The 24,043-nt window shown below is 37.3% G+C and overlaps 1 protein-coding gene across 36 annotated transcripts in view; it reads right to left on the bottom strand.

The window, feature by feature from the left end:
- The window catches only part of ZMYM2 (zinc finger MYM-type containing 2), a 225,276-nt gene that overhangs the window by 36,779 nt on the left and 164,454 nt on the right, over positions 1-24,043 (bottom strand). For all 36 annotated transcript variants that reach the window (NR_148365.2, XM_047430584.1, XM_047430585.1 and 33 more), the window contains 5 exons: positions 20,902-21,018; positions 17,933-18,083; positions 15,428-15,600; positions 739-904; positions 26-60 (listed from right to left, as the gene is read on the bottom strand). Coding sequence is in view for 35 of the 36 variants with exons in the window: in XM_047430584.1 (XP_047286540.1) it covers positions 26-60; positions 739-904; positions 15,428-15,600; positions 17,933-18,083; positions 20,902-21,018 (642 nt within the window). In the remaining variant the exon portion in view is untranslated. The remainder of the gene's footprint in view (positions 1-25; positions 61-738; positions 905-15,427; positions 15,601-17,932; positions 18,084-20,901; positions 21,019-24,043) is intronic.

Below are 24,043 nucleotides of genomic sequence, written 5' to 3'. Positions count from 1 at the left end.
AGCACTCCATTTCACCAATACTTACTGTCATTTTGGTTCGAGATGTCTGACAACCCTGATCTAAAAAACACAAAAAAATTTAAAATAAGACAAATACTCTTTCTTCAGAATGTTCTAAATCCCTATTTCTCATTAAATTTCACCAATTTAAAATGTGACTAAAGAAAATATTTTAGACTATTTTAAGGAAAGAATTTCAAATTTGTATAAAGTATAGAAATATACAGGTAAATAAATGAAATTAATCCTTTTCTCCTTTCGTCCCCTCTGAAAGTATACACTGCTTTCGGGGAAATACTATTATATATTCTTAGATTTATATCTTAAATGATATTTTTTTTAAAAAAATTACAGCTTCTAAACGGTTTTTGTTCTTCCTCCCAACCTACTCCCTAGCAATACGATTTGCTAAAAATAATTTTCATTTAAAATTGCAGATGACACGATAGTTAGATGTCTATTCTTTTTAAAATTTGTGTTATAGCACTGTTTAGCTTCTCCTCACTCTCAACTATGCCTTTTCTCAATTAGCATGAAATTTCAAAAAGACAATAAAACTAAAAGCAATACATTTATAAAAACAACATACAAGGGTACTTCGACCCAGAGAATCTACGGAATTTAAGTTGCTGTTAAGCTATCTCCAAAATCAACTATTCATTATCAGTGCTTTGGATTCAAAACTACGTAAAGACTGATGTACAGGGTTTTCAAGTTATCACCTAAATCATTACATACCATAATGTAAGTTTTCAGGTCCTTTCTGAGTTGTCATGTTGGGCTCATTTTGTTGACAGTAGAAACGCAGTAAGCAATGTTGATCACAGAAATGTTTCATTTCCCCACGCCACTGAACTCGCTCTTTAAGAGTTCCTTGAGATTTACAACAGTCACACCTTGCAGCCTTAATTTAAAAAGGAAGGTTTCAGATATTGCAAATTATTTTTGAAGATTTCCAGAAGTTTATCAGTGATTATTGCCAAATGTGATAAAACCGTGACTGATACAGAAAAAGTAGAACTATAATATAAATCATTTGTAAACAGTAAAATCTACAATAAATGAAAAAAAAAAAAAAAAATACAATTTCACAGTTGACAAAGTCCATCCTATACTTACCAGAAGTCAAAGACCAGCATTACAAAAGTAGGATAACTAAATATATATTGGTAGACCAAATGAATGTATTTTAATGTTTTTAAATAATTTTGAGGGCCATATAATGTACTGGTAGAATTGTCTCCTACAATCATTACATTGAACATTTATGAGTAATGAACGGATTTCCCAGGTTAGTTGTACAAGACAAAGGTAATTTTGAAGCAAGCTCTTATGATGGGAAATTTATGGATGTTAACTTGAAAATTTTGAGTTTTTCAACAGTTTAATATAAATTTGAAAAGCTTTAATAAATACATTTATTTAATTTTAATAACAACTTTATGTTCTAAAACACTCAATGTTTAAATGTTCTGAAAACCAATAATATCTATAAGACAAGCAATTTGACCCACATCTAGGAAAACAATCAGCCCAATGGGTCCACAACTTAACTTGCAATACCAAAAAACGATACAAGAACAACAAATTAAAATTCATAGAATGTACTTTATTTTGGTGAATCAATAATCTTGAGACAGATTTTTCTTTTTTAGAGATCCTAATTTCCCTAGATTTTGCCCATTTTCACTATTTCTTAACGTCTTGACCAATGAGTTTAACGAAAATATAAGTGATGTATCTTCAAATACAGAAAAACGATGTAATTTCAAATACAGTTCTTTTCATAATTTAAGTTTCTGATCTAGAAATGAACTATTATTATTTTTTTCAATTACCCTTTGGCTTAACAGCTTAGAAATTCTGATAAAGTAATAACTGTTAAGTATTTTGTAGTTCGTAGTAACTGTGGCCATGGCTTTTCCTTTATTACTCTAATCTAGAGTTTTACACTGTGGATTTTGAAATTTCTCACGTTGTATTTCAAGAGGAATTCTACAAATGCCATGTCAAAATTCCTGGTCAGGAATGTTAACAAATGACTGTGTTGACAAACAGGTCTTACATAACAAACATACCCCAAGGTTAGAACACAGGCTTTTTTTTTTCTCCAGGTCAGGTATTTCTCCTGCTGAATAAATGTTAAATGAAGATTTATAGTATAAATTATGACTACTAAGTGATGCAATATCACAACTCTTGTCCAAAAACTTGTGAATCCAAATTTTATACTGCTGATAGTATTATGTGATCATCTCAGTAACAATAGCACTTAATATCAACCAAGATCATATTTTCACTCAATAATAAAAAAGTCCCTTTGTTAAATTCTCACCAGCGAGACTGTTCTTCGAAATAACCATAGAATTGTTCCAGGGTTTCTTTTCTTTCTTTCAGTTTCTTTTTCCCTTTTTATAATTTATGCTCAAAGAAAAGACAAAGCATAAAGGAAGGAAATGGAAGCTTAATACTTTATTCACTGATTCCGAACAATGCAGGAACCAAAAGTAGAGTTACAGCCTGACTACCTTGTTCACTGAGAACCTGAAATAAAAGCCAAACCCATTGTATCTACTCTCTATAAACCTTCACAACAGCCCTGCAAAATGGGTACTGCAAACTAAGATCTAGAAAGATTAAATGACTTGACTAAGGTCAAATATTAAAAATGCAGAGATAGGATTCAAAAGGCAGACAACCAATTCAAAACCTAGGCTTTAGCCTGTACCCTAAGCAATAAAGACAAAATGAGTTACTATAAATGAGCAGAGAATAAATACCCTAACACAATACAAATAAAATGCTACAAGAAGATTCTCAATTTAACATTTAAAACAGAAATCTGTATTAATTCAAATCATTACATGTACTATGCTGACTCTTAGTAGTAGTATTTCCGTTTATACAATAATTTGGAAGATCAAGGGCATAAAATTAAACACATTCCACCTCAAGAATTTGAACAATGGAATCACTTCATCGTTCTACAATTAGACACTTGGTTTTTATAGAATCAACACTTGAAGCTCCCTTCTTCTTTTAAAGGTTCAAAACAAATTTAGATAATTTCCCTCTACCCAAAGAAAAAAGGGGCAAGATTAATACCAATTTACAAATGTAAACAAAATAGGCATGTATTTTTTCAGCATGAAAAAACAGTAAGTGAGAACTCAATACTAATAATTCCAACTTTAATGCCATAATCAAAATTTTGGAGGTTGTGAACTTTTGTTTCTTTGACATCCACTCATGCAAACTCCTAGTGAAGTGTTTGGAATTCAGCTAAAATATGGTGGCCAATTTAAAAAGATCATTAATGACCATCATTCCTTACCAACACCAACACAACTCCACTCTAAGCCGCATTCCCTAGCCATTTGCAAAAAAGAACTATTAAGACATCATAAAAAATGAAATAAATGGGACACAAGTCTCTGGTTTTAAAAATACTGCATCATCTATTTTGTGGTTTTCTTGTCATTGTGAAATCAAGGATAGCAAACTAAGAGGGAGGGGGAAAAAAAAAAAAAAACAAGTCACAGGTTCAAACAAATCTAAGTAACAGCCAGGTACTAAACTCTGACTCAAAAACCTTAATCCAACCTATCAGCTAAACAGAAATTTCATTTTCAATAACTGGCAAAAGGTCATTCAGCCTATCCTGACCCAGTCCCTTTCATGTCTTGGATAGTTTCAACTTTTCATTTTTGACTGATATATACATCTTTTTAAACTTTCCTATCCATTTGCTCCCTATTTCACCAAACAAACCTAATTTTCCAGGGGAGAACCATGAATACGAAAAAGATAGGGGTATTTTACAGACATTTTAAGCAGAAATCCTTTATGACTTCTCAATACAGCTTTCTGAGCACAATGGAGTGATTCGCTACAAATTTTTTTTAAAAAAGAATGCAGGGATAAAAGGTGATTGGGTACTATGCAAAGCATAGGAATTCTCCGGTGACCAAAAATATATATTTAAGGCAATATTTGAATATTAAATATTATTTTCCTAAAAATAATTTCAAAAAAATTTTAAAAAAAATGGATATAGCTGTTTATAAAGAAAAATTATACAAGTCTAATATTATTAATTTAAAGCCCATAAATCATACTGTTAAGACTATTAGAGGGCATTTGTATTAAGAATTTAATATTGCCACCATTCATTACTTCTTTGGAAAACAAATCAAAGCCTGTGTTAAAAAACTGTGCAATCGAAAAGTAATACAGTTTAAGAAAAGCTCAGGTCTTAATAGAGATACTCTTGGGAAACAGTGGACCTTTTGAAATATTATCTTTACCAATTTATCAAACACCTTCTAGCTATTATTGTATTACAATACTAAATTCTTTTTCTTAAAAACTTTTAAACTTACAAAGATCAAAAGAACTATCAGGTTTTTCATTACGCCTGGAAACATTTACTTGAGGAAAAGTAAAATCTACTTCTTTCTAAAAAGGTATCTGGGAGAAGAAAAATACGTTAATTTTATTTTCAGCATTTTTTGGTTGCATGATGTCACAGATTTCTTATTCCAATTTAGAAGAGAAAGAATTTAATAAATCTCTATTTTAAATCTAGAAGCAAACCATGATATAGACCAGAAAACACAGCTCATTCAGTGTCTTGTCAAGTAAAACAATTTTTAAAGCATAAAACTAAATTTAAATAAACAAAAAAGTAGAAGTTATTTATACTATAGGTAGTTGTCTCTCAATCTAAAGTGCAAAGGTAAGAGAAGGTAAAAATACAATGTGTGTGTACTACCATTTAAGAAATGTTCATGGCTAAACATGAAATAATAGCCAGATTGGCTAGCTGTTGATTTTTAAGTTTCTGTGATGAAGCACTTTTTTTCCTTTGGCTTGAAGCTTATTTTTCTGATAAGCCGGAATGATTTGTAAGGGTCATAGGTTTTAATGTACTAATATATAAACTTGTGAGTATTTAAATAAAAAAAGATAAACCATAAAAGGGGGGGACCCCATAATTAGTTTACCACATTTTCAAGATGATACCATGGCAACAGTGAATAGAAGGAATGCATGGGGGGGTATAAGAAAATACAGTCTGACTCAAGTAGAAAGCACAGAGAATAAAGTTACCATTTGATTACAATAATGGCTGCAGGCAGCAAAACCAAGGATGAATGAAGAGAGACAACTCTTCACACTTCAAAGATTGTGCTGCATATTGATCGTACAGAAACATCAGCATTGCTACTTGCTTTATAAATTTCTACCATCTAACAAAAATATTCTTACCTTTATTCCTCAGATTAGTATAATATATAACCTATTATGTATATTATACAAAGATCTGTTTAAAATAAGGCATGAATATATAATGTATTTAAGGTACAGAATACTGACATTAAACATAACTAGATGATTGTAACCCGGTATTTGACTAAAGTATTTCTTGTATATTCTGAAATGCACTGCTTCATTAAATCCTCATCACTGAATTCTGCATAAATGAAAACAGAAATAACTATCTTTTAAAAAACATAGCAAGGTGGAACACACGACATCTACAATAACATGGTCTTTTGTCAAAGAACGTACCTTTGCTTCCCAAAAAAAGGGAAACAAATCCCAAACTTCCCTATTCTTTAATATATATATACACACACACACATATATACATATATACACACATATATATACACACATATACATATGTACACATATATATACACATATATATACACATATATATACACACACACACACACACACACACACATATATATATATATATATTTTTTTTTTTAGAGACAAAGTCTTACTGTGTCCCCCAGGCCAGAGTGCAGTGGTGTGATCAGAGCTCACTGTCACCTCAAAAACCTGAACTCAAGTGATCCTTCCACTTCAGCCTCCCAAGGAGCCAGGACTACAGGCATGCACCACCATGCCTGGCTAATTTTTTTTATTTTTATTTTTTGTAGAGATGGGGTCTTGCTGTATTGCCCAGGCTGGACTAGAACTCCCAACTTCAAACAACCCTCTCACCTCAGCCTCCCAAAGGGCAGAGATTAAAGATGTGAGCCACCGCTCTCAGTAATTTTTTGTTTTCCTTTTTGAGACAGGGTCTTGCTCTGTCACCCAGGCTTAAGTGCAGTGGTGTAATCATAGCTCACCTCGAACTCCTGGGCTCAAGCAATTCTCTTGCCTCAGCCTGCTGAGTATCTGGGACTATAGGGGTATGAAATCACACCTGGCTAATTTTTAACTTTTTTTTTTTTTTTTGCAGAGATGGGCTCTCACTATGTTCCCCAGGCTGGTCTTGAACTTCTTGCCTCAAGTGATTCTCCCACCTCATACTCCCAAAGTGCTGGGATTACAAGCATAAGCCACTGCACCCAGCCCCAGTAATATTTTTTAAAGCTGGGAGATCATTCATTCAAAGAAAGAAGCCAAACAGAGAAATACATTCAGTATCTGCTGTGAACAACAACAAAAAAATCCTCCAAGAAAGATTATTATACAATATTAAAATTTTATATTCATAATTTTACAATTAGGCAGATATTTGTACAGTAAAACAACAGGGAAATCATCATCACATGGTAACAATTTCTGTCTCAAACAATAAGATAAACAATGAAAATAGATATAAAAATAAAATGGGATTTCCAAATTTGTACTCACTAAATGCCTTTATTGTTTTGAGATTATCCAAAAGAAAATTTTAAAAATAAAACCTCCTAAACAATGGGTATAAAAGTGCACTTGTATGTGCTAAACTAACATCAAGCATTGCAAGGCCATGAAGTAACATTTTCTGAGTGATTTCTCAAAAACACTAATATCCATAAACAAAACATTTGTTTAGACTGAAATAAACACGTTTTAGAGTGTATGTTTGTCCTCTGTGTATTTCTAAAATTTGAGCCTTAATTTTTAAAGTTTACATCATATAGAAGCAACAGTAAAGTAATGAAGTAACTTTTTTTAGTACATCAAACCTCTTAGTCTCAATTACTTCACAGCTCTTAACAACTTGGGAATTACTTTACAGCTCTTAACTTGGAAAGCATCTTCCTTTTTTTATTTACAATATGCTAGTTAACATGGTGAATTGCAGATATTAAAGAACTGCCCCAGAACTCCTGCAATTCTCCTAGTAGTATCATTTTAATACCAATACCTTGATAAAGTAAACTAAATACTGTTCTCCATATTCGACTATTTCATTTGTTTCTTTAGAGGCCTTAACAAATTTGAAGTCATGATAATGTCTGTCTTCACATGCTTTTTTTTTTTTTTTTTTTTTTTGACACAGAGTCTTGCTCTGTCGCCCGGGCTGGAGTGTAGTGGTGCCATCTTACCTCACTGCAACCTCCGCCTCCCGGGTTCAAGTGATTTTCCTGCCTCAGCCTCCCGAGTAGCTGAGATTACAGGCATGCACCACCATGCATGGCTAATTTTTGTATTTTTAGTAGAGACGGGGTTTTACCATGTTGGCCAGGCTGGTCTTGAACTCCTGACCTCAAGTGATCTGCCCGCCTTGGCCTCCCAAAGTGCTGGGATTACAGGAGTGAGCCGCCGCGCCTGGCCTGTCTTCACATGCTTTACAACTGTACCCACAATGAAGTTTCAGCATTGAGATGGTTTTCCATGTTATCAACATAGGAATTAATGCTCTTTTCTTGTAATCTTTCTGACTACCCACAAGTCCAAATTTACACTCATTTTCTTATCTAGGAAGAAACTGATGCAATGTGTGAAAAGAGACTGACTTTATAAAAGTAGATGTTGGGGCAAGATGGCTGACTAGACGCAGCCAGGTAGAAGAGCTGCCCCGGAGGGACTGAGAGTACTGGTGCACTCCTAAGAGATCTTCAGAGGGAAAGCACCAAGAGTAGAGGAGGGAAGACAGAGAGAAGCTTGGCTTAAGGAGAAGGAATCTGGGAACGCTGCATGGGGCTACCACACACTGGGACTTGTTCTTGACCCCTAATATGCTGAGGGCACAAGTTAGGTGAACTGGCAGAGAGCAACCTGCTCTGGGCACAGGCCTCTGGAATCTCAGCAGGAGGAAACCCTTCAGCCAGCAGGGACACTTGAGTTGGCAGGGAAAGCTGCTTAAAGAAGTTGTAGGGGCAGCAAGCCAGCTGATCTGGAGCCCACAGGGTTTGGTGCAGGGGCCTCTGTAGTGGAGCACAGCCAAGGATGACCATCCACCTAGAATCAACTTGCTCCCATAGGAGACTTTAACCCTAGGGCAACTGTCAGATCTGAACTCTGCGGGGAGGTCTTGCCCATAAGAAGAGGCCAGTCTGACCTGAGCATCCCTTAATCTGTTGGCCTCTTGCAGGGTCCCAGTGTGAAAGTACCTGCTTTCAGGTCAGCCTCGAGTGTCCTAGAAGCCCCCATCATAGCTTCTACCCTGGCAGACGGAACTTGACCACTGGAGACCCCCAGTGGGGTGGCCCCCACAGACACGCAGCAGTGCCACCCATTCCCTCCCCACACTGCAGCTTCCCCTGGGGCCCATGGATACTTCCCACATCCCTTTGCCATGTGCAGGCAGGTTTTGCTTGCCTCACCCAGCCAGCACCCACGTGTGTGTGTGCACCCTGCCCTGCCACTCATGCAGCAGGAGTGCACTTCACCCCCACCTTGCCCCACCAACGACACTGCAGTTGGAGCCTTAGCAGTCAGCCCCGCCCCCACCACAACCTGGCCCTTTCAGCAACACTGCCCAGAGCAAAACTAGGCACACAGAACAGTGGACACTCCACCTCCCTGAGCGACCAAGAGCCCTCTGAGAATGCACAAAGACCTGCACCTGCCAGCGCCCTGCCACCACCACCACCACCAGTGCAACCACAGGCACAGTAGCCAACAGGGGTTCCCCACTCCACCCCCTAGCCACATTGCATCCACCACTGTGGCAAGTGCAGGCTGGGAGGCAGGCACCCCAGCACCAACTAGCACCCTACCACAGCCAACAAGTGTGCACCCCATCACGCTGCACTGCTGCTGGCACATGCCAATGAGGATGGATCCTGCTGTCACCGCACTACCAAATGCTGTGACTGACACCATCCATCAAGTGTAGTGATCAGCGGCCCCAAACACGTCAGTCTCCCCAGCACAGTGGATACCTGCGCTCCAGGAGACAGAATCAAGTTGAGACTGATATAAGTACCCCGGAGTTAAAGCACACAGTCCAGGAGTTAGGAACTTAGCACCGGTCCCTTAAAACCTTCCAGAACACAGTCACTTGGCTGAATCCACCTTATTCCACAGTTAAACCCTCAAGGTCATCAAATATAGGATACAAGAAAAAAAAATTGGCTGGGCACAGTGGTCCATGTCTGTAATTCCAGCACTTTGGGAGGCAGAGGCAGGTGGATCACTTAAGGTCAGGAGTTCGAGACCAGTTTGGCCAACATGGTGAAACCCCATCTCTACTAGAAATACAAAAATGAGCTGGGTGTTGTGGCATGTGCCTGTAATCCCAACTACTCAGGAAGCTGAGGCAGGACAATCACTTGAACCTGGCAGGTGGACGCTGCAGTAAGCCAAGATCATGCCACGGCACTCCAGTCTGGGCAACATAGCAAGACCCTATCTCAAAAAAATAAAAAAAAATAATAATAATAAAAAGCAAAGGTCAGCAACTTCAAAGGTTGAAGGAATGTAAGCCCACAAAGATGAAAAAGAACTCGCACAAGAACCCTGACAACTCAAAAAGCCAGAGTGCCTTCTTTCTTCCAAATAACTGTACTACCTCTCCAGTAAGGGTTCTGAATCAGGCAGAGATGGCTGAAATAACAGAAATAGAATTCAGAATATGGAAAGGCATGAAGATCACTGAGAAGCAGGAGCACACTGAAACTCAATCCAAGGAACAAGGTAAGCAGGAGCTTACAGACAAAATACCCAGTATAGAAAAGAATGTAACTGACCTGATAGAGCTGAAAAACACACTACGAGAATTTCATAAGGCAATCATAAGTATTAATAGCAAAATAGACCAAGCGGAAGAAAGACTCTCAGAGCTGGTAGACTGGCCTTGTGAAATAAGACAGACAAGAATACAGAGAAAAAGAATAAAAAGGAACGAGCAAAACCTCCAGGAAATATGGCATTACGTAAAGAGACCAAATCTATAACTCAACTGGTGTCCCTGAAAGAGATGGGGAGAGTATAAGCAACTTGGAAAACATATTTCTGGATATCATCCATGAGAACTTCCCAACCTAGCTAGAGAGGCCAACATTCAAATTCAGGAAATGTAGAGAACCCCAGTATGATACTTCATAAAAAGATCATTCTCAAGGCACATAATCATCAGATACTCCAAGGTTGAAATGAAAGAAAAAATGTTAAAAGGCAGCTAGAGAGAAAGGTCAGGTCACCTACAAACGGAAACTCATCGGACTAATAGCAGATCTCTCAGCAGAAACCCTATAAGCCAGAAGAGATTGGGGGCCAATATTCAACCCTTTTTTTTTAATTTAACACCAGTGCCACCTGCCAACCAGAATTCCATATCCCACCAAACTAAGCATCATTAAGTAAAGCAGAAATAAGATCCTTTTCAGACAAGCAAAATCTGAAGGTATTTGTTACCACCAGACCTGCTTTATAAGAGCTCTTGAAGGAAGCACTAAATATGGAAAGACCATTAACAACCACTACAAAAACACACTTAAGTACACAGACAAGTGACACTATAAAGCAACCACATAAACAAGTCTGCAAAATAACCAGCTAACATCATGATGACAGGATCAAACCCACACATATCAATACTAACCTTAAATGTAAACAGGCTAAATGCCCCAATTAAAAGGTACACAGTGGCTTGGATAAGGAAACAAGACCCATTGGTATGCTATCTTCAAGAGACTCATCTCACATGCAATGACACACATAGGCTCAAAATAAAGGGATGGAGAAAAATCTACCAAGCAAATGGAAACCAGAGAAAAGCAGGGGTTGCCTCAGACAAAACAGACTTTAAACCAACAAAGATCAAAAAAGACAAAGAAGGTCATTACATAATGGTAAAGGGTTCAATTGAACCATCAGACCTAACTATCCTAAATATAAATGCACCCAACACAGGAGCACCCAGATTCATAAAGGAAGTTCTTAGAGATGTACAAAGAGACTTAGACTCCTAGACAATGCTCCAATAACAGTATCAGACAGATCATCAAAGCAGATAATTAATAAAGATATTCAGGACCTGAACTCAGCATAGAATCAAATGGACACCCCAAAACAACAGAATATACATTCTTCTCACTGTCACATGGCACATACTCTTAAAATTGATCACATAATCACATATAAAACATTCCTCAGTAAATGCAAAAGGACTGAAATCATAACCAAAAGTCTCTTGGATCACAGTACAATCAAATTAGAAGTCAAGACTAAGAAATCCATTCAAAACCTTACAATTACATGGGAATTGAATAACCTGTTCTGAACAACTTTTGGGTAAATAATGAGATTAAGGCAGAAACCAGTTAATTCTTTGAAACCAATAAGAACAAAGATACAACGTACCAGAATTTCTGGTACACAGCTAAGGCAGTGTTGAGAGGGAAATTTATAGCACTAAATGCCCACATCAAAAAGTTAGAAAGATCTCAATTTAACAACCTAACATCACAACTAAAAGAACTAGAGAACCAAGAGAAAACCAATCCCAAAGCTAGCAGAAGACAAGAAATAACCAAAATTAGAGCTGAACTGAAGGAGACTGAGACATGAAAAACCATTCAATAGATCAATAAATCCAGGAGTGTTTTTTTATTTTTTTGCGTGCAGGGGTGGGCGGGATTAATAGACAGACTGCTAGCTAGACTAATAAAGAAAAGAGAGAAGACCCAAATAAACACAATTAGAAACAATAAAGGGGATATTATTACCACTACCCTCACAGAAATACAAATAACCACCAGAGATTGTAATGAACACCTCTGTGCACATGAACTAGAAAATCTAGAAGAAATGGACAAATTCCTGGACACATACACCCTCCCAAGACTGAGCCAGGAAAAAACTGAAGCCCTGAACAAACCAACAATGAGCTCCGAAATTGAATCAGTAATAAATACCCTACCAACCAAAAAAAGTCCAGGACCAGATGGATTCACAACACAATTCTACCAGATGTACAAAGAAGAGCTGGTATCATTCCTACTGAAACTATTCCAAAAAATTGAGGAGGGGGGACTTCTCCCTAACTCATTCTATGAGGCCAGCATCATCCTGATACCAAAACCTGGCAGAGACACAACCAGAAAAGAAAACTTCAAGTCAATATCCTTAATGAACATCAACGCCAAAATCCTCAACAAAATACTGCCAAACCAAATCCAGCAGCACATCGAAAAGGCTTATTCACCATGATCAAGTAGGCTCTATCACTGGGATGGCAAGTTTGGTTCAATATACGCAAATCAATAAATGTGATTCATCACATAAACAGAACTAAAGACAAAAACCACATGATTATCTCAATAGATGCAGAAAAGGCTTTCAATAAAATTCAACATCCTTCATGTTAAAAACTCAATAGGCTGGGGACGGTGGCTCACGCCTGTAATCCCAGCACTTTAGGAGGCTGAGATGGGCAGATCACAAGATCAGGGAATCGAGACCATCCTGGCTAACATGGTGAAATCCCATCTCTACTAAAAACACACAAAAAAATTAGCTGGGCATGGTGGCGGGCGCCTGCAGTCCCAGCTACTCGGGAGGGTGAGGCAGGAGAATGACGTGAACCTGGGAGGCGGAGCTTGCAGTGAGCCAAGATGGCGCCACTGCACTCCAGCCTGGGCAACAGAGAGAGACACCATGTCAAAAAAAAAAAAAAAAAACTCTCAATAAACTAGGTATTGAAGAAATATACCTCAAAATAATAAAGAGTCATCTATGACAAACACACAGCGAACATCATACTGCACAGGCAAAAGCTGGAAGCATGCATTCCCCTTGAAAACTGGTGTAAGACAAGGATGCCCTCTCTCACCACTCCTGTTCAACACAGTATTGGAAGTCCTGGCCAGAGCAATCACGAAAGAGAAAGAAATAAAGGGCATCCAAATAGGAAGAGAGGATGTCAAACTTTCCCTGTTCACAAATGACATGATCCTATATCTAGAAAACTCCATAGGCTCAGCCCAAAAGTTCCCTCAGCTGATAAACCACTTCAGCAAAGGGTACAAAATCAATGTACAAAAATCACTAGCTTTTCTGTATGCCAACAACAATCAAGCTGAGGGCCAAATTAGATACACAATCTCATTGAAAATTGCCACAAAAAGAATAAAATGCCTGGGAATACAGCCAATCAGGGAGGTGAAAAATCTCTACAAGAACTACAAAATACTGCTCAAAGAAATCAGAGATGACACAAACAAATGGAAAAACATTCCATGCTCATGGATAAAAAGAATCAATATCATTAACATAGCCATACTGCCCAAAGCCATTTACAGATTCAATGCTATTCCCATTAAACTACCAATGACATTCTTCACAGAACAAAAAAAAAAAAAACTTTTAAAATCCTATGGAACCAAAAAAGAGCCCAAATAGCCAAGGCCATCCTAAGCAAAATGCAAAAAGAACAAAGCTGGAGGAATCATGCCACCTGACTTCAAACTATACTACAGGGATACAGTAACCACAACAGCATGGTACCGGTACAAAAGCAGACACATAGACCAATGGAACAGAATAGAGAGCCCAGAAATGAGGCCGCACACCTACAACTATCTGATCTTCAACAAACCTGACAAAAACAAGCAATGAGAAAAGGATTCCCTATTCAATCAACGGTGCTGGGATAACTGGCTAACCATATGGAGAAGACTGAAACTGGACCCCTTCCTTACACCATATACAAAAATTAACTCAGGATGGATTAATAAATGTAAAACCCAAAACTATAAAAACCCCTGAAGCCAACCTAGGCAATACCATTCTGGACATAGGAACCAGCAAAGATTAAGATGCCAAAAGCAACTGCAACAAAAGCAAAAACTGACAAATGGGGTTTAATTAAAGAGCTTCTGCACAGAAAAAGCATGCACACATATGTTCATTGCAGCACTATTCACAACAGCAAACACCTAGAGTCATCCTAAATGCCTACCAATAGTAGAGTGGATAAAGAAAATGTGGTTCATATATACCATGGAATACTATGCAGCAATAAAAAAGAGATTATATACCCTGCAGGAACATGGATAGGACTGGAGGCCATTATCCTTAGCAAACTAACACAGGAAAAGAAAAGCAAATACTGCATGTTTTCACTTATATGTGGGAGCTAAATGATGAGAACACAAACACATACAGGGGAACAACAGACACTGGGGCCTATGAAAGAGTGGAGGGTGGGAGGAGGGAAAGAATCAGGAAAAATAACTAATGGGTACTAGGCTTAATATCTGGGTGATAAAATAATCAGTACAACATGACCCAAATTTTTACTTTGGTAAATTTGGGTCATGTTTGGTCATTTACCCATCATTTACCATGACCTAAATTTACCTATATAAAAAACCTGCACATGTACCCCTGAACCTAAAAGTTAAATTTTTAAAGTGGGTTTAGTATGACACATACACATACACACATTTATGGTTTCAAATTAAATGTTTCTGGTCTCTACTTAGTGTTCTTTTCAATTTTAAAGTCCCCCAAAACTCACAATTAAAAAGGCAAAAAGCCAAAAAAGAGCAAGATGTTTTTAAAATATATCTCAAGTATCCAAAACAATTACCTGCTAACATTCAACACTGATAACATAGTTGAAAGTATTTCTATTTAGCTGGGCATTGGTGGCTCACGCCTGTAATCTCAGCACTTTGGGGCTGAGGCGGGCAGATCACCTGAGGTCAGGAGTTCGAGACCAACCTGGCCAACACGGTGAAACCCTGTCTCTACTAAAAGAATAAAAATTAGCTGGGCGTGGTGGCACGCGCCTGTAATCCCAGCTACTTGGGAGGCTGAGGCACAAGAATTGCCTGAACCTGGGAGGTGGAGGCTGCAGTGAGCCGAGATGGTGCCACTGCACTCTAGCCTGGGCGACAGAGATTTCATCTCAAAAAAAAAAAAAAAAAAAAAAAATTCTACTTAGTGAAATAAAGACACAACAAATTTTAGAAAAACAATCCATTTTGTTAAACTACAATGCTGAAAATATAGGTATATCCTAATCTTTTGGTAATGCTTAAGTTATTAAAAAAAGAGATAAAAATGCTACTTCAAACAAGCAGAAATGACAAGACAATTTTAATGAATAGTATTATCAGGGCTGGGCCTTAAGTGTGTACATTTTTAAAATAAATGAGTTGCCAGATTTGTAATGGTAACAGCTACAACGTTTTTTAAGACTGGTTAAAGTAGCTGCTGTAATAAAGGAGTTACTCGCCTTGTAGTACCAATCCTGAAATTTTTTACAGCAATCTTCACTGCAGAAATCTCTCACAACACCATCGAGTTCTTTAGTTGCTCCCTTCTTACATAGCTGAGAACAATAGTTGCAAGTAACACATCTCAATCCTAAACGTCTGGCAAAATCCTGTTTGTATAATAATTTGCAGCCTGAAAAATATAAGATTTATATATTAAAACAAAAAAACACATGAAAACTAATTATTGAGCAGAGACAGATCTTAATTGGTCAAGATTTTTCCTCTCCTGATCAAAACTATAAAATCTACTGTAATCAATATCAACCTATAAAAATTAGAACAGAATATGGGATATTTTATTAGATAACATATTATCTAACATGTGGGTTAAAATAATGTTTCAAGATATTAAAATCTAGTAATGTCTCAGAATTATTTTATTTGTTCTATTTAAACAGAATCTTGCTTGGGCCTGGGAAATAGACAGATAGAATCTTAAGTATCAAACTAAGCATACCACAAATAGGCATTTTAGAAAAAGGAACAATGTAGACTACTGAGAGGCTCTGAGTAAATTTATAGAGATATTCAACTTAAGTGGGCATTTTAGCTAATTTTTCAAGCTTACCTCTCTTACATGGACCTTCAGAAAAAAAAACAGATTTATTGACTTGCCCAGAGAAAATACTTTTGTTATCTAGTCCTTTAACGAAGTATGTCTTTTTTCTACTACATAAACGCATTAAGTATTTTTACATATCCTTATTTATTCCCTATAACACCTCTACGAGGATCACATAATACTCTATACTTATACTGTGCTATGTAAGTAGAATGACTTACATGTTATCTACTAAAATCCTATTCATCCTTTCATAAGGACCTCAAATTATCCCCCTACCACAAATGCTGCCCACGATCAACCTAGTTTAAAATGACATTTCCTGTCTGCAAACAGGAACTGCAATTGTTTTCTATAAAATTTATTTAGCAATCATTTATGTACTATCCTATGACTTCTGTTACCTTGAACTATATTTTAAAATATTCTTTAAAATTTACCTTTATTAGCTTTATCTAACTAGAGTTTGATGGTCGTACTAGGTATTATGTGTTTTGTTATTTCTGACAGGTTCTAGCAGAGAACTAGGTGCAGTAAGAGAAAGCAAAAAATATGTCATTTAACAGGAAAAAAACCCACACATTCTTTTTCAACATGCTATTACCGATCTGAATGTATAAATCCCTCCAACTGAAAATTATCTTCTTGAATGTCAATTACCTATTTGCTGCTAATTGTCTATTCATTTTAGTAAAGTCCATATAATCCAAATGGTAGACAATTAATGACATATATGAGCAATCAACATCAGCATGTTCAGATTTATGAATCAGTAAGAATGTCATTGCACAACTCAAATGTAAAAAGACTAATTCAGAATCAATCTTTTCAATGAAACATTGTAAGATTTGTCATTTTTCATTATAGCTTTACTCTTAAATAACAGCGAAACATGGTTACTTTCCATTCCAGGTGAAATGTACAAAATTAAATTTAAATAGGAATGCCTTGTTTTATAAGCAAGCAGCACCCTCTTACGGACATGACTTTACATTACATGTTAAGACTGTAAATGAACGCACTAGTTGAACGAACTGATAAATCTTTTTATTTTGCTGTCATTCTCTACTGCTGACATTTAGGATTTTCCCACCTTTCTCTTACTCCAAACTAGCAGTCAGGAATCCATAGAAAAAGCAGATCCAGAAAAAAATATTCCTCATTAAAAAATTATAGGTGAAGATAGCAGACAGGAAAGCTGGGAGTTCAGTGCCATGGACCAAAGAAAGATAGAAAGTGAAAGCCAGCTTAGAGCAAGAATGTCACATTGGGAACAGGAATAACACAACCCCAAAACCCATAGCTACAATCCTAGTTCCTATCTCTGGATAAGTAGATTTAGAATTTGAATTCATCTGTATAATCTGCTGCCTGGCACCAGAGCAGCAAAAGTGTAGATAAGAGGAAAGGGAATTCTTGAACATACTAAAACAGAACCCAGTGTCTCCCTGGCACCCCAAATTGAATACCTAAAAGTATCTTCCCATTTTAGTACTGCCATATGTGATTTTCTTTCTGGTATACATATTGAAAACCTTTGCAGGTTAGGTAGTAAGCTGGGCAGGGAAAATGGAGCTAATGGAAAACAATTTTAAACCACTTGGAAAACCAACTTTCAGACCACAACATGTAGGTTTAGAAATAACATGGCATGAAAATGCTTTTATTTTATTCTAAAACTTTAATGAAATAAGAGGTTACCAAATTTTTAGAGATAAAACCATCTTGAAGCCCAGATCTACAAACACATATAAAATAACGAAACAAGTCAGTAGAAACGTAAACTCAATTTTTTTTGTTCAGCTACATTAAAATTGTGCAGCCACTCTGGATATATTATTTTGGCAAAAAACATTAAATATCAATAAATGTTATGAACAACACTGTATATGCAACTTGCCTTCACTACAGAAAGGTCTCTTAACGCCAGAGAAATTTACTGTTTCATGAAGAGTCTTCTCCTCTTGACAGTATTCGCAATATGTAACTATGCAATGCAACTTCTTATAGTCATCTGAACAAGTTTTGCTGCAGAACTGATGCACTTTGTTCTAAATGCACAATGGGAACCTTGGTAAGTATATGACGACAAGCTTAAGAAATAAACACGCCACTTTTACAGAAGCAAAGTTAAATCATTTACCTATTTAATGTTAAGACCCTTGGGGATAGATTTCCTACAGGCCATGGATGCCTAGTTTAACCAATTCACTGCCAAATTTAAACATAGCTCCACAAAATTCAGTGCCATTAGCTACCCTAAAATTACTTAATGGAAGTAAAAGTATCACTAAATAAGATGATAGACTGGTGTTGCTAACATAATTGGAGAAATGGGAAGAAAATGATGGAAAATACAGCATAGGTAAACTAAAGAAAGATAAAAATTATGGCACTAATAATATTTTCAGTCAAAAAGAAAAATTCTTTGTTGAGTATAAACAAGTAGGCTCCATCACATTCCTACCACACACCTTAATAGTAACAGATGTATCATGGATGAAGTATTCAATTTGGTGCCATCACACAGCGTGCTGCTGAACCTGAGACTGAGTTGTTTCCCTTGAATGGAACATGATTAGTAATAATTTGTTTCTCCTGGGCCCAAACCCACAATAGCCAGAGCTACTTTTCAAATATTAACCCAAGCAGGTATGAACAAGTTAAAACTTCCAGGGAGGCAGCTTTTCTCTCATTATTGAGCAGGCTACAGACTAAGTCTAAACCATTTACTTTACAGTTAGCAAAGACATGTGAAGACCAGAATAAGGAAGGTGAGGGAGTCTGGGAATCAACTCAAGTAGTAAGGCAATCATTAGTGGAAAGTTGCCCCATTATGACTATGTAATTTATAGAAGGAGGAAGGCAACAAAGAAGCCACATGGAGTGAGGAGAAAGAGACCACTGAATTCTCAATCTCCCAGGGGGACACGCTCAACTCTCATTCAGTGTGGCAGTGTCTCTTAACTGCTTCTAACACTTAACCTCCATGTAAATAAAAGCAATACACCAAAACAACTACAGAAGTGGAGTAGCATTGACATAAATGCAGTGAAAAGGACCTCATTTTGATCTAGTATCAAAATTCAGTGTATGCAGGATCTTCATTTTCTATATGACACTATTATTCTGTATGCTTGCTAATGGATTTCTTTCTTCATTCCCTCATCACTCCTTTATTACCTCTTACTGGGCCTTCATTCTTACTGCTGTTACTTAAAGGTTATCAGTCACTAAAAATCATCACTGGATGCCAACAACAGTCTCAAATAGGGATTGGTTTAAATGATCTGGAGACAGCACCAAAGCAAATAATAAACTAAAAAATGTTCCAGTCATTAAACTGTTAAAATGAAATTTCAGGTTTCCAAAGTACTTTAGAAATCATGTAATCCAGGCTGGGTGCGGTGGCTCACGCCTGTGATCCCAGCACTTTGGGAGGCTGAGGCGGGCGGATTGCCTGAGGCCAGGAGATCAAGACCAGCCTGGCCAACATGGTGAAACCCCATCTCTACTAAAAATACAAAAATTAGCCAGGCGTGGTGGCAGGCATCTGTAATCCCAGCTACTTGGGAAACTGAGGCAGGAGAATCGCTTGAACCTGGGAGGTGGAGGTTGAAGTGAGCCAAGATCACGCCATTGTACTCCAGCCTGGGCAACAGAGCGAGACTCCATCTCAAAAAAAAAAAAAAAAAAAAAAAAAAAGACAGAAAAAAAATCATGTAATCCAGTTCTGGGTACCACCTTTCACTTAAGACTTAGTTACTGAATGACTCACCAACAGCTCCTAATAAATTTTGGCTCAAGAACAGTGTTAATACTACATCTTCTAAATCTTGTATACCATTTTATCATATACTCCATGCACTACCTCCCACCCTGCCCCACCCCTAAAGCAGTGAAAAGAAACAATGGCCAAAGGCAAGCATTGCTCAAGAAAGCAATGGGCAGCCTGGGCAGTCTTGGCCATGTATCCATCTATTACTGCCCCCTTATGAAATAAAAGTCAATCATCAGCGTTATTGCTAATGGAGACATGTCAAAGCAAATCAGTAAACTAATGAAAAAAGGGAAAAGAAAATAAACTTGTAGTGGGATTCATAGGCCACTATTGTTTTATTAAAACACAATTATGGCCGGGCATGGTGGCTCATGCCTGTAATCCCAGCACTTTGGGAGGCTGAGGTGGGCGGATCAGTTGAGGTCTGGAGATCGAGACCAGCCTGGCCAACATGGTGAAACCCCGTCTCTACTAAAAATACAAAAATTAGCTGGGCATGGTGGTGCCCACCCGTATTCCCAGCTACTTGGGACGCTGAGGCAGGAGAATCACCTCAACTGAGGAGACAGAGATTGCAGTGAGCCGAGATCGTGCCACTGCACTCCAGCCTGGGCAACACAGCAAGACTCTGAGAAAAAAAGAAAAAAAAAAAAAAAAACAATTACAGAATTGTATCATTTTATAAATGACAATGTGGTATATGACTGATACATTCTAATATGTACAGGTACTGAGTGATAGAAAATATCGTTCTCAGATAATACAGGACAGGGAGAAACATGGGACAAAAAAAGGAAAGACAATTGCTCTAGGTACGTAGCTAAACAAAGTGACATTCTGTACACTATTATGAACTTATACAATATATCAGGAATATGACTTCAGTAATTTTTCTTGGACCTAAAAAGACATAGATCCTTTGTTGGTTTTCCACTCCCACATGAGAATAAATAATCCAATCATAAAAAAAAATCTGAAAAGCATATTTTTATCTACCAAGAAATAGGTTTCCAGATGGAAATACAACACTTATTTTACTAGACTTTCTTTTTAGCATTAGATAACACACATTACAAAATACAACTTGCCTCCCATTCCAGGATTTCTGGTTTTGAACAAAAGGAATTTTTGCAGTAGTTGCATTTCAACTGAATATCACTTGGCGCTACAAACTGGCCATTTGGAGATGACTGCATACTTAGAGCCTAAAACAAAGAACAAAAGATACTAAGCCTGACATGTATGTTTGAATTTCTATTTGTGATTACTGTCATATATCTACGATGTCCAGAAAGTAATATACATCTTGCTTAGATATCTTTTCAGCACATAAAACTCATTTCCAAATTTTGTCCTTAAAAATTATAGTATATGTTAGTTTTATAAAATTGAAATTAAATTTAATTTTTAACCACAGAATTATTATTTACCTAAAATAAGAAAAAATCATACATTCAATCATCATCTGTTCACTTAAGAAAATGTAAGGAAGTAACAGTAAGCAAATAATAGTGAGGTTAAGTTGCCCACGTTCTGAACTAACAGAAGTTTAAAAAAACAAAAAGAACAAAAACCTAGTTCTTATTGCTATCTCCAATAATCATCAAATATCTAATTTACTAATGTTTTGTGCCACTGCATCCCTACTATAATTTTCATTCCAAGTCTACCAGTGAAATAGGCCTATGTTGGCCAGGCGCAGTGGCTCACATCTGTAATTCTAGCACTTTGGGAGGTCAAGGCGGGCAGATCACCCAAGGTCAGGAGTTCGAGACCAGCCTGGTCAACATGGCAAAACCCCGTCTCTACTAAAACTACAAAAATTAGGCCAGGCGTGGTGGCTCATGCCTGTAATCCCGGCACTTTGGGAGGCCAAGGCGGGCGGATCACGAAGTCAGGAGATCGAGACCATCCTGGCTAACACGGTAAAACCCCGTCTCTACTAAAAATACAAAAAATTAGCTGGGGGTGGTGGCAGGTGCCTGTAGTACCAGCTACTCAGGAGGTTGAGGCAGGAGAATGGCGTGAACCCAGGAGGTGGAGCTTGCAGTGAGCCGAGATCACGCCACTGCACTCCAGCCTGGGCGACAGAGCGAGACTCCGTCTCAAAAAAAAAAAAAAAAAATTAGCTGAGCATGGTGGCGCACGCCTGTAATCCCAGCTACTTGGGAGGCTGAGGCAGGGGAAATCACTTGAACCCAGGAGGCGGAGGTTGCAGTGAGCCGAGATCACACCACTGCACTCTAGCCTGGGTGACAGAGCGAGACTCCATCTGGAAAAAAAAAAAAAAAGAGGAAAAGAAATCGGCCTATGTTACATTTAAAAATTGATCACTTCTTCTTCAAAGTTAGGAGAAAAAAGATTTACACACTGGTATTCATAAGAGGAATTTTACTATTCCTTTTTTTTTAAAGTTAAAACAATTTACAGACTGGACGTCATAGCTCACACCTGTAATCCCAGTACTTTGGGAGGCAGAGGCAGGCGGATCGCTGGAAGTCAGGAGTTCGAGACCAGCCTGGCCAATGTGGCGAAAGTCCGTCTCTACTAAAAATACAAAAATTAGCTAGGCATGGTGGCAGGTGCCTGTAATCCCAGCTACTTGGGAAGCTGAGGCAGAATCACTTGAACCCAGGAGGCAGAGATTGCAGCGAGCCGAGATCATGCCACTGCACCCCAGCCTGGGCAACAGAGTGAGATTCTGTCTCCAAAAAAAAAAAAATTTACAGAATAAGACACAATATAAGCATACATGGACACTGACAGATTTTTTCTAATTCCTAATCTGAATGGTGAGGACACTGGTATTTAATTATCATTTTTTAAACCATATTACTCATATATTACATATAATCTTAATGCATGAAACGGTTAATAAAAATTAGCCATTCAATGTACAGCGGAAGGAGAAAAAACTACCATTTTTAAAACTTCTGCATACACTGTACAACACTAAGTTTGTGAAAAATAAAATATACAGATTTAAGACTATGAGATGAATAAATTTAAAAAATAAAAGCCAACATTACTCTTAGCGTTTCCAAAAAATTTGAGCCCCATTAAAGTTAACTAGTCTTTCAAAACAAATGGAATATGCTACAGTCTGAATGTTGGTGTTCCCCCACAAATTCATAGGCTGAAATCCTAAACCCCAAGGTGACAGTATTAGAAGAGGTAGGGGCTTTGAAAAGGTGATCAGACCATTAGAGCTCCACCCTCGTGATCTAATCAGTCAGTACTCTCATAACAGAAGCCTGAGGGAGCTCATTCGCTACCTTCACCATGTGAGGACACAGCAAGAAGGTACCATCTATGAGGAATAGACCTTCAACGGACAACAAATTGCCAGTGCCTTATCTTGGACTTACTAACCTCCGGACTATGAGAAACAAACTTCTATTTATAAGCTACCAGTCTAAGGTATTCTGTAATAGCAGTCTGAATGGACTAAGTGGGAATACTATCCTGTTATCTTACTTTTAAAAGGAAAATATCTAATGAAGATATAAAGTTCAAAATATATGGTTTGCTTTATGATAAAGGGAAAAATGTTGCTTTTCTGTCAATTTTGTATTATTTATATGCAGAGAGATGAAGCTGCCTGTAGGCCTATCTGGATGTATTCCTCAAAGTAAGAGCCTAAATTAAGTACAGTCGGTCCTACATATCCATGGATTCAACCAACAGAGGATCAAAAATTAAAAAAAAAAAAAAAGATGATTGCATGTGTATGGACATGTACAGTCATTTTCTTCTTGTCATTATTGCCTAAACAATACAGTATAACAACTCTTTACATAGCATTTACATGGCATTAGATATTAAGGGTAATCTAGATGTGATTTAAAGTACACAGGAAGACTTGCACTGTAGGTTACATGCAAATACTATGCCATATTATATAAGGGATTTGGGCATCCTGGAATTTTATATCTGCAGGAGGTCCTGGTACCACTTGCCCATGGATATCAAGGGGTAACTGTATATCTTAAAATATACAATGTACATATACAGAGGATCTTATCAAATCATGGGTGATACAAGTTTCAATTAAATGAAAAGGGTAGTTACAACATTTTCAATTATCAGTTTAGTTTATCCAACAATATCAAAAAACAAAGTTCAAGATCTGACAAGTAGCATGCTATAGACACTGTCTTCCTCTCTTCTAATTAATAATTATTCCTTAATTTCTAGTTTAAGAAAAGCCAACAAGGCAAAAGCAATATC

The sequence above is a fragment of the Homo sapiens genome, chromosome 13 (genome assembly GCF_000001405.40).
Source record: "Homo sapiens chromosome 13, GRCh38.p14 Primary Assembly".
Taxonomy (NCBI): Eukaryota; Metazoa; Chordata; class Mammalia; order Primates; family Hominidae; genus Homo; species Homo sapiens.
The sequence above is the reverse complement of the archived record's forward strand: the minus strand, read 5'-3'. Positions and strand labels throughout refer to the sequence as shown.